The sequence below is a fragment of the Homo sapiens genome, chromosome 6 (genome assembly GCF_000001405.40).
Source record: "Homo sapiens chromosome 6, GRCh38.p14 Primary Assembly".
Classification (NCBI taxonomy): domain Eukaryota; kingdom Metazoa; phylum Chordata; class Mammalia; order Primates; family Hominidae; genus Homo; species Homo sapiens.
The window spans coordinates 83,230,002-83,242,164 of NC_000006.12; the positions used below are offsets into that span (position 1 = coordinate 83,230,002).

Below are 12,163 nucleotides of genomic sequence, written 5' to 3' on the forward strand. Positions count from 1 at the left end.
TTTTAGAGATGGGGGTCTCGCTATATTGCCCAGGGTTGTCTCGAACTTCTGGCCTCAGGAGTGATCTTTTCGCTTCAGCCTCCTGAGTCACTAGGATTATAGGCGTGAGCCACCATGCCAGGCTCTGTTTTTTTTTGTTGTTGTTGTTGTTGTTGTTGTTTTTAATTTTGTTTTGTTTGTCTTTTTTTTTTGAGACAGAGTTTTTGCTCATGTTGCCCAGGCTGGAGTGCAGTGGCGCGATCTCGGCTCACCGCAACCTCCGCCTCCCGGGTTAAAGCTATTCTCCTGCCTCAGCCTTCCAAGTAGCTGGGATTACAGGCATGTGCCCGGCTAATTTTATATTTTTAGTAGAGACAGGCTCTGTTTTTAAAAGCAATATACTGAATTATTAAAAAATTTGAAACATATGAACCTCTTTGTGCTTGTCTCCTCATCTGTAAATAAGGATAATAAGGACTTCTACCTCATCAGGTTGTTTGTGGGGTAAATGAAATGTAATGCATGTAAAACACTCAGGACTGTACCTGGTTTATAGTAAGAGCTCTATGCTAGTTGTTGTTGCAATTAAAATTTTTGTGAAGAAGAAAAAAATCATAATTCCAGCACTTAAAGTTTTGGTATATTTTCTCCTATTAATAATCTGCTGTAGGCCAGGCGCAGTGGCTCATGCCTGTAATCCCAGCACTTTGGGAGGCTGAGGCGGGCGGATCACGAGGTCAGGAGATCGAGACCATCCTGGTTAACACGGTGAAACCCCGTCTCTACTAAAAATATACAAAAAATTAGCTGGGCGTGGTGGCAGGAGCCTGTAGTCCCAGCTACTCAGGAGGCTGAGGCAGGAGAATGGCATAAACCCAGGAGGCAGAGCTTGCAGTAAGCCAAGATCACACCACTGCACTCCAGCCTGGGCGACAGCGAGACTCTGTCTCAAAAAAATAAAAAATAAAAAAAAGAAATGATTAGCCAGTTTTGAGAATCAGTGTACTAAATGATCTATCATATCCCTACCACATGCGTTTTTAAGAGGTTATGTGCTATGTTTTCAAAAAAGTATACAATAATGAGTCTAAAGAAGAAAAGCTATAGAATAAGATAAATTGGAAGTCACAGCTTTTTTGGCTGTCAAGCTGAGATATAATGAAAAATATTTAAATTGCCTAGAATGGGAAACAAATAATAAAAAAGACAGATGAATAATGTATGAAAAGAAAAAGATATATACTTAATCATAAACATCTTTATTAATCATAGTATACCCACTGGCAGCTCCTAGACACTGAAGCCAGAACTTAGCCAGAAGACATTCCATCTAGTAAGAAGCATAAATTACCCATGGCAACACTTTCAAAGGCTTGATTCCTGGTATGACTTACAAGTGCTGAAAGAATGCTGAAAAAAGTCCAGGAATCACGAAATGGTAATACTAGCAATACTGAAGGTCTTACTTGACAAAACAGAAGAAGCAAAAGACACACACACAAAATGTCTCCCAAGTATGTTCTCTACCATTTTCAAAATTGACTTGATGACCTAGTTTAAAGAAACTACTGGAATGTGACAACCTTTTCTAAATCCGGTAATACTGAGGCAACTACCTGTACCTTTGGACTTCTATTTTCTAGACTAATGGCTTATTTTTCTTTATTTTTCAAAATCTGATTTGGAATACATATTCGTTATGCCAATAACTTCAGTTGGTATGGAGATGAGTAGATGTCTTTTCCCTTCATTCTCCCTTTTCAGGATCCCTTGCTGAAATCCTTTTGCCTTCTTTTGGCAAAGTGCATGTGGGCACCTCTCACCTCAGAAATCCCAAATTCTATGATGCATCTTTTCTCTCTCTGTTTTTTTCAAGAGTCTCTAATTACCTCAAACATATTATGGATAGCTGAAACTTTATTTGTGATATTATTACTTTAATCTCCCCTATCCCTTTATATTGTGATGATTCTTACTATATCGTAGAAGATATAACCAGATTTAATTACTACCTTTTCAAAAGCACATGTTTATAGTGGGCATAGGGAGGAGAATGGGGGCAAAGGCTGCCAAGATTTTGGGCTATTATTCCACAGCCCAGGATAGGAATAAGTAAATTAATTCTAGATTACCAGTGATAAATATTTATTCCTTCCTACATACAGGGACTAGAAAAACTCTTCCACAAGCCCCAGTTGGACTACCTACCCCCAATTTACTGGCCTGTTTTTGCTGTCATGTCATTAGTTTATCAGAGTTGAACCTGGCCCCTCTTTGGATCTGTGGACAGGGCTTTCTCAGCACATAGTCAGTAGCATTTCACTGCATTTGTTGCAAATCAGGTATGTGCACTTGCTAAAAGAGTCCAGAGCTGTGTTTCATCATCTCAGGACAGATTAAACTAAGATAAATTATGTGACAAAAGTATAGTAAGGGGCATGGAGTGTTTTTAATGTAAGATAGTAGGTGGTGAACTCCATCAGTATTTAATTTTGTATGTTAAAAATCAATATTCATAATTTTCTAAGACTCATGCATATAATCTTTGGCCTCTGTTCTTTTTAATACCTACATGCATTGATCATACTCTATTTGAAATAAAAAAGAGGGAGAAAACAATCAAGCCAGATACTTTTTACCAGCTTACATAGTCTATTTGGAGTTAGAATTTTTTATTAAACCACATTGTATGAAATGTATTAACCATCATTCAGGGTGAAGGCAGCACCAGTCAAAAATTCTGATAAAATAGCAGATAAACTATATAGTCTGTAGTTTCAAGCCCTCGACCTAGAGATTATACTTTCAGGAATGAAATAACTATATTGTCAAAACTACCTTTATAACATACAATATACCTTTATTGACCATCTCTTTCTACAGGAGCTAAACATTTAACTATAAGTCAGAAAAATACAGTACAGCAAAATTATTTAAAACAAAACAAAATAAAATAAAAATAAAAACGAAATTCAAACCAGTCTATGGCTTCATTCTGGGTTAGATGAAATCGATCCTTCGTAAGGTCTGTTAATATCCTACTTTTTATTTTGAAGTTCTGTCAGCATTAATTTCGTTTATTAGTGAGAGCGAAAATATAATATTTATTTAAGACAAAGATTAAACCTGGTTTGTTTTGTGGCTTCTTATCCTCCTGAAAATGCTCCAAATCTTCACTGCAAAATGCAAATACTAGGCAACATTCCCTTTTCATTCTCTTTTCACTGTCTTTATTCTTACTTTAATTTTTGTTTTGGAAGGTTTTTTAAAACTAAGTATTAGTTTTACATTAAAATGTATTAATATTAGTTGACAAAATTAATATATAAATTATTTTCCACTATAAAAAACTAAAGCATCTTATGTTTATTACTATAAAGTACAAAGATATTTGAGTATGATCCATAACCAAGTAATTGACTTCAATTAACCTTGGTGATATGGATGAATTATTTACAATATTGGTATTCTATAGCATTAACTCTTTCCACTGCACATATGGATATGGTGTAAATGATGGAAAATGCTATGCCTGTGATGTTGAAAGTTGAAAGAGAAAATATGCTGGAATAATAATTATCTAGCGTGATGATGATATAACTTCAAAGATGAGCTGACTTCACAGTTCATGTTTGAGTTTTTGACATGGTGTTTTTAAAAAGTGGAGTTTCACCAAGAAAATTTTTTATTTAAAACTTTATGGTATTTTTACATTTTATAAACAATTATATTATAAGTTAATAAAATTAATAAAATTATTATTATTGGTTCTCAGGAGATATAAAAGTACTAAGAATGAAGGATAAAAAACACAAAAGAATCATGTAAATTTGAAAATGGGATTACACTAATTTACTGGTTATTCTAAGGCTTAGTTCTGCAACAAAAGTCAATATAAGGATTTTGACTGTTTAAAAGCATGAAAGAAAAAGTGAAACTTAATATGTATCTTTTATATTAAATAGTGTACAAGCTATTAAATATATAACAACCTTTTAAAATGTAATTTTATCTTGGCAAGCAGAATATATGAACTTCTTTATTTTGGCAAGTAAAAGACACGAAGTAAGAGAGACTGACTAGATCTAGCCAACTACTTCACAGTTATTCCAAGTATTATATCCATGGACTCTGGAATCTCAGCTCAGTAAATGTGTGTTAAAATTATTCAAGATGCTAAAATCTATGTATTTTTACACAGATTTCAGGTAAAAATGTCATCAGAGACAACAAAATAAAACCACATAGACTTCCACTTTTTGGACTTTTGAATATTTTATATCCCTAAGGACAACAATTTGTATAGCTTTCTCCACAGCTCCTACTATTCCTACTATTTACATGGTGATGACCCCCAGATCCCTATCTCCAACCCAGACACTTATCCTCTGTATCAGTCCCGTATCTCCAACTGCCAATGGGACATCTCTGTCTGAGGTCTCCACAATCACCTTAAACTTTCTATGTGTGAAACTGATCCTGTTACTTCCCTTAAATTGGTCTGTTCTTTATTCCTTACTAGACAGACCCCAAGGAGTCCATCTAGACTCCTTCCTCCACTCCACCCTATTCCTCCTTCCATATTTCATCAGTTACTAAGTATGCCACTTCTATTTCCTAAATACCTACTGAATTAAGTTTCTTTCACTCACCTCTGGTTATGCCCCAATTAATTTCTATCTGGATTATTGCAACAGCTTTGTAACTAGTTCTTTTTCTCAGTTTCCCCTCATTGCAATCCATCCTCCACAATGCCATCAGAGTAAAGGAGAGGCAAACCCCCCTGCACAGGTTTGTTTAATTGCTCATCTTCAGGGTTCGGAAAGCCCTTCATCTCTTATCATCTGCTTCCTTTCTAATATAATCTGTAAATGTCCCTTATACCAAAATATTTTATTTTGTACATGCTGGTTCTCCTGTCTGTAAAGTGACTTATTCACTCATTTATTAACAAAATATTTGTTGTCAGGCATGTACTACACACTGTATAGAACTTTGAAGATCTAAAGAGATGAAAGGCATCATCTTTAGCTTCTATCAAGATCTCTCAGTGAACTTGCCATCATATTTCCTTTGTTTCAGTTTTGTATATAGGAAATTTAAGATATCCATGGAGACCCTAGATAAACTCCTAACTCTTGCTTTCCAACTTAGCTTAATAGACACGTTGTCTTGATATCTTCCTCAGTACTCCCATCTTTTTCCTTAGTGCAGTTGGGAGCATCATCTCCTGTGCACCTTGACACCATGAACATATTTTTTATAATACTTTCATATGGTTCTAGTTCTGTAACTAGTGGCTTGAATTTTTCTCACTAGGCTATCAGCTTCCTAAGATCAAGGGCTTTATTGAATCCCCAGAGTCTAGAACAACACCCGATCCATAGGTGGTTTTATTCAATAAACATTCTTATTTCATGCCCACAACTTGTCACATGATGACAGTGTACAAAATTTTCATACTATGCTGATTCTTCAAAGCAATAGCTATTTTTTTTTTTTTTTTTTGAGATGGAGTCTCGCTCTGTCACCCAGGATGGAGTGCAGTGGCGCGATCTCGGCTCACTGCAAGCTCCACCTCCTGGGTTTACACCATTCTCCTGCCTCAGCCTCCCAAGTGGCTGGGACTACAGGCGCCCACCACCATGCCCAGCTAATTTTTTTTGTATTTTTAGTAGAGACGGGGTTTCACCCTGTTAGCCAGGATGGTCTCGATCTCCTGACCTCGTGATCCACCCGCCTCGGCCTCCCAAAGTGCTGGGATTATAGGCGTGAGCCACCACGCACAGCCAGCAATAGCAATTTTTAAGCCAAGAAATCCATACTGAAAGCCTCTGTCTTTATATATACTTATTTACTACAAAAGTTATGCATATATTTTTTCTTCATTTAAAGAAACATATTTATGTATATTAATTTTAAAAAACAAATATTTTTCTAGCTTTAAAGGAACAGATTACTAAAAATTCAAAATATATAAAAAAGACATTAGAAATAAATGTTTTAAGGTAATATGCATTTGATATATTTCCTTCTATGACTTTCATATACAACTGTATTTTAAATAAAAAATAATATATACTATGGTATTTGTTTTTTTCACCTAACATTATATTATGAATCCTTTACCATGTCATTTATTGCTCTTTGAAAACAATTTAAAGCCTATACAATATACTAATGTGGCTATTCCACAATTCATTTGACAATCATCCTTTATTTAGGTAAGTGTAACATATCACTATTATAATTAATGTGTGATAAACCATATCATTATTGTAAATAATGCTGCAATAATATCCTCATACATAAAATACTGTATACATCTCTATCTCCATGAGATAGATTCTTTGAATGGAAACTAGTGGCTCAAAAATATAAACTTTTAAAGGCTTTGAATACACATAAAACAGCTTTCCAGAAAGTCTGTATGTACACATTCACATTTACTTCTATACTAAATTCCGGAAGACACTGCTTACCATTATTTATTCCTAATCATTCATCTTCACATAGGAAGGGGATTTATATGTACTTTTTTCTAGCAGTTTAAAGAATGATTGATATGCACAGGTGGCACAAGTATTAATAATGCCTTATAACTATATAGCAATATGGCCACAAACCTAATTTTATTTAGTTCTCAAAATAATACTATGAAGTAGATACTATTATCACTATTAAAGATGGAGAAACTCAAGCTCAGGTAAGATAACATTCAAACAAGCTATTTATCAAAGTTTTCTCTCAGGAATTCCCATTCAAACCCTTAAGAATTTGGTTGAGAGGAAGTAGCAGGTAAAGGGTAGCTATTTCATTTCTTTCCTCATTTCTTTCTAGCTAATGTACAATTTGATCACCAACTCTCAATAAAAAGTGATATATCTAGGTGTTTCATCTGTATCAATATCAAATTGCTAAATTTAAAACTAAACTGGCCAAGTGCAGTGGTTCATGCCTGTAAATCCCAGCACTTTGGGAGGCTGAGGCAGGAGGATCACTTGAGCTCAGGAGTTTGAGACCAGCTTGGGAAACACAGTGAAAGCTGTACAGTTTTTTTTTTTTTTAATTAGCCGGATATGGCGGCCTGTGGTCCCAACTGCTCAGAAAGCTAAGGTGGGATAGGGATCACTTGAAAACAGGAGGTCAAGGCTACAGTGACCATGGAGGCATCACTGCACTCCAGCCTGAGTGACAAAGTGAGACCCTACCTCAAAAACAGAGAGAGAGAGAGAGACAGAGAGAGAAAAGAAAGAAAGAAAGAAAGAAAGAAAGAAAGAAAGAAAGAAAGAAAGAAAGGAAGGAAGGAAGGAAAGAAAGAAAAAGAAAGAAAGAAAAGGAAGGAAAGGAAGGAAGGAAGGAAAGAAAGAAAAAGAAAGAAAGAAAGAAAGAAAAGGAAGGAAAGGAAGGAAGGAAGGAAAGAAAGAAAAAGAAAGAAAGAAAGAGAAAGGAAAGAAAGGAAGGAAAGAAAGAAAGAAAACTAAACTAATTCAAATGGACTGTCAATTCAAAGGGGTGTAAGGAGCCGACTCACATTGCAGATGGAATCTGTTCCTAAGTCATAGTTTTCTTTATTCAGAAGAGTATCAGTATTCTGTATGACATGATCATTTGTATTTAATGGCTACTCTTTTAATATAGTGTAAAGGGAGGTGGTAGAAACAGAGTTGTCTTTGAGATGGCCATCCAGAATGGCATAGTTATCTTTATTCTGGTTAAAAATGACAAATTCTTACCTTAACTATTAATCCTTTTGAATCAACCAGCCATATCTTTTTGATGGCTTTCTCTTTTGGTAAACCTTCTTTTTCCAAGGCCATCACAATCAGGTGTGCAATCCCTAGGGCAGCCTCAGTGATGAAAAGAAAAAATTTTAAAGTTGTTCTACATGATATCTTATTAAGGGTTACATTTCACCCCATTTTGTCTTTGTTAGTGGGAACAAAATATTTTTGTCACATTTAGGTTAAGCCAAATAACAATTATTTACCCTTTTTACTACAACAGAGCCACTATTATGTGGCTTGCTATTTGGCCACAGATAAACTGGTGATATCCTTGATTGTCAGTGTATTTAATCCTGTTAATACAACCAAGATTTGCTCCAAGAAAAAATACTGAATTCAAAATAATGAACTGGTCAACCTTGCTCATTGAACTGTATTGTTTATTGTTAGGTTCAAGCTACTCTAATTGAATTTGAAGAAAGAAGCTTGGTCATTTGGATGGGAACTTGACCAATTAGGCAACAGAATGAAACTGATGAAAAATAAAAGATCTGTGTTTCCAAGCATCTACTTACTCTTCTAATTTGGATACCAAAAGTGCTGTGAAATTTATTGCAAGATTAAAGGAATCAACTTCCTTGGTATTTGGTAAATTTTATAATTATCTGTGAAATTTCCAATATCTTTCCAGGGACAAACAAGTGCTAGTTTTGAATCATCCAACCATGAATTCTTCTGCCTAGTTGAGTATCAAGAACTGGCCTGTGCCATTCATCAAACCCTTTGAAAATTCAAAGAGGTTTACTAAAGTTAAATACAGCATGTAATAATCCGCAAAATAGAGAACTCAAATGTTAATGAGCTGTCATTTAGCCTTGATTTTTATTTCAATGTGAAAGTGAATTTGTGATTTACATTCTGAATACTTTCACATATTTGTATCGTGGCATTTGAATTCTAACTTCACATATTTTGTTTTATCTAAAAACAAGCAAAATGAAAACCAATATGACATAAACAATGATCTACCAGTGTAACATATTGTTGTGTTCATAATCATATTCAATTTGAAAATTTAAAGTTTCTTGAAAAATATATATATATATATATATAGCCACAAAATATTTCTCTATTACTTACATTCTATAATTCTAAAGAGATTTTGGCAGTTTTCCCATAAGAAACTCAAACTCAACTAACATTTTAATTTCTAGTTTGGGGATGAATTATTATTACAGGAGTCTAGTTTTCTTCTTTCAGATTATTAAATTAAGCAAGTAATAACAAAGCATAATTTGGTTTTGCTGCAGTCTCTTTCCAACAATTTAAAATATTTTGGGATTTTTGCATGTGAACAGTAATAATATACTACAAATCCCTAATTCAAAATGTTTTTTCTTAAAAACACATATGTAGTTACATACATACACACTGAATTGTGAGTCAAATTTTAAAAACTTGTTTTTGTAACACTGGAGTATACTAAAAGCCAGTATCAGATAAACCAGCTTAAATACATAAAAGCTTGCATATATACACATACATTGGAAAGTTTTCCTGTATGGCACCTTAGATATGCATAACAAATACCTACGGCAACATTTGATAATACCACAAATTTAAAACTGTGAAAAATATCTCATTACTTCTGTACTAAATTATCCTATGAATAATTAATATGTCTCAGTACTTAATTTGGGAATCTTCCATAAAGCCTACAGTCATAATATACTAAAAATTTGAAAGAATACGTCAAATCTTGAGTTAATGAGCAATTAACACTAATTATATGTTAGTTTAGGAGAACATAAGTATTACACAAGGCAAATACCTCTCCAGCTCCTTGGAATAGTATTGTTTGATCAGACAGTTTGTTCTTGGTTATTCGAAGAGCTGCAAGGAGACCTGCAACTGCAACAGATGCTGTTCCTGAAACAAGTAATAAATATCCTTGAGTAATCCTCAAACAGATCCTGCCAATTTTCAAGCTTTTATTCACAACTTGAAATAATCATAAAACAGGTTAACTGGTACAGAAGAGAAACCTGTGGTTGTCTTATCCCATGCTTGCATACGTGGTAAAATTCCCAGGCTACTGACATCAATATTTTAAGATAGCAGCTTACTACTATTCTTGAAAACTTCCCTAAAAGAAGATTCTGTGACTTATCTTAGTGACATAATCAATGAAAGGATGGGATCTGGATTCCTCAGATTCTAGCTCAACAACCCACTGACTAGCTGAAAGAATTTAGAGAAATTATTGTGTACATCAAATAGATAGTTTCCTCATCTGTAAAGTAGTTTTACTTTATGATATAAAAGAGTAATAAGTGCTATTAGATTCTTCCGTCTAATTACTCTTGGGGTTTTGAAATCTATTAATGATCCCCTTCACACAAAGAAGGCTTCACACAAAGAAACTCTTCTTCACACAAAGTAGGCTTCACACAAAGAAACTCTTCTTCACACAAAGAAACTCTTAATGTAAGAGTTTCAGAACCTGAGATAGGAGGACACAAATAGTAAATTCTTGCTGATGATGGTATTGGTGCTCATAATATTTTTGATACATTTGGAATTTAATGTTAATGGCAAGTAAAATCTAATTATATTGTATCATTTAATAGACTTTTTACCTATGAAAATCACTGGTGGATCCCAAAGGTACTAGACAAAACTAATGCAAAATTTCTTAAGATAAAAATTATATTTTCCTCATCATGTCTCATAGGCATAAAAACTTCACCAGTTCCAATTATATTACTTTACCATATAAGCATTCACAGATCACAAAGCAGTTCTCTTGCTTTAAGTGTAATTACACAGCTCAACTTCTTTATGGCTAATAAAGCAGCAGCTTCTTGCAACACTTTCCAGCTGTATCTATACTTTACTCCTCCAAGGTAACATTCTACCTATAATGTTTCCTACATCACTCAGCTGGGTAGTAAAGCCTAGCTAAACGTTAAATACCCTTATTTAACATTATGGTTAAAACAAAGATTAGACTAGGTTTGATGAATGACACAACGATGAAGCGTTATGTATGTCAAGTATCAAAGGTAATCAACATTTCACAATCAGTAAATTTGTTCTATTCAATCTTTTAGTTTCTTTCTTGTATAATTAGGTAGCCGCAAATAAGAACACAATAAACAATAATTGTTGAAGGCCTGTTAGTCCCATATGTGCCTTTTCTTTAGGATCACAATGTGTACTACAAAAATAAAATGCATGCAATTTAGAGTCACTATTGCAATAATTATGAACTGTGCTAAGTCATATATTATGAAAAAGCCACTCTTCTATACATTACTTAAGGTGAAAATCTATGCAAAAAATATGGCTAGTGTATGTAGAGAATATATCATGACATGATTAGAATGATATTTTCCCCATGCAAGATATATTCACTAGAGTCATTAAACAGATGAAAGAGAATTTAAACTAGAAAGAGAGGTATAGATATCCACTTACTAAATAAGAAGTTATTCAGAAATAGTAGCTCAAGCTATCTCTCTCTTGGGTTCTTTTGAAGTAAACTGCCCAGAAGTTTGGATCTGGGGAACTCTAAGCTCCCTTCCAACTCTGAGATTCTATGATTTTAAGGGTTTCTATAAGATTTAACCAATTGAAGCATCAAAGTTGAAGTATCATCAGCAATCACTGTATTTGTATTATTATTTTTATTTACATCGAATTGGACACTTACGGTCAGATAGACAGAAAATATTCTAAAATATCCTATTTGGTACCTTAATTTCATATGGTTATGCTAGATCACTTAAAACTCAAAATGTGTTAAGTTCATACATTATATTTAAAGATATATTTCATAATATTTCCTGAGAACACAATGAAAACACTAATCTTCCATTTATAGAATTAATTAATAAAATCAGAAAGATATTTTTAGCACTATCAAAAATTTAACTTGAACATGATTCTTGTACATGGCCTGGTACTACCTTGATTTAAATTTCATTGCAGAGAAGGGAATACATGTAGAAAATTGAAATTTCATAAAACTGTAAATTTTTACAATAAATTATTCCATAATAAGTTTTACTTTAAGATTTAAAACTAAGCTTTTTATAAGTCAGACAGAATTCGTGCTTAGGTTTATCTTCATACTATCAGTTTTTGTATTTATTTTTATTTTTTTATTTTGAGTCAGCGTCTTACTCTGTCACCCATGCTGGAGTGCAGTGGCGCGATCCTGGCTCACTGCAGCGTCCATCTCCCAGGTTCAAGCGATTCTTCTGCCTCAACCTCCCAAGTAACTAGGATTACAGGCACCCACCACCATGCCTGGCTAATTTTTGTATTTTTAGTAGAGACAGCGTTTTGCCATGTTGGCCAGACTGGTCTCACACCCCTGACCTCAGGTGATCTGCCCGCCTCAGCCTCCCAAAGTGCTGGGATTACAGGCGTGATGAGCCACTGAGCCCCGC

The 12,163-nt window shown here is 34.1% G+C and overlaps 1 protein-coding gene across 1 annotated transcript in view; it reads right to left on the minus strand.

Moving 5' to 3' along the window:
* ME1 (malic enzyme 1) overlaps nt 1-12,163 on the minus strand; it is a 220,650-nt gene that overhangs the window by 19,600 nt on the left and 188,887 nt on the right. The window contains exons 8-9 of the mRNA NM_002395.6: nt 9,538-9,635; nt 7,716-7,829 (exon numbers count right to left, since the gene is read on the minus strand). Coding sequence (NP_002386.1) covers nt 7,716-7,829; nt 9,538-9,635 — 212 coding nt within the window. The remainder of the gene's footprint in view (nt 1-7,715; nt 7,830-9,537; nt 9,636-12,163) is intronic.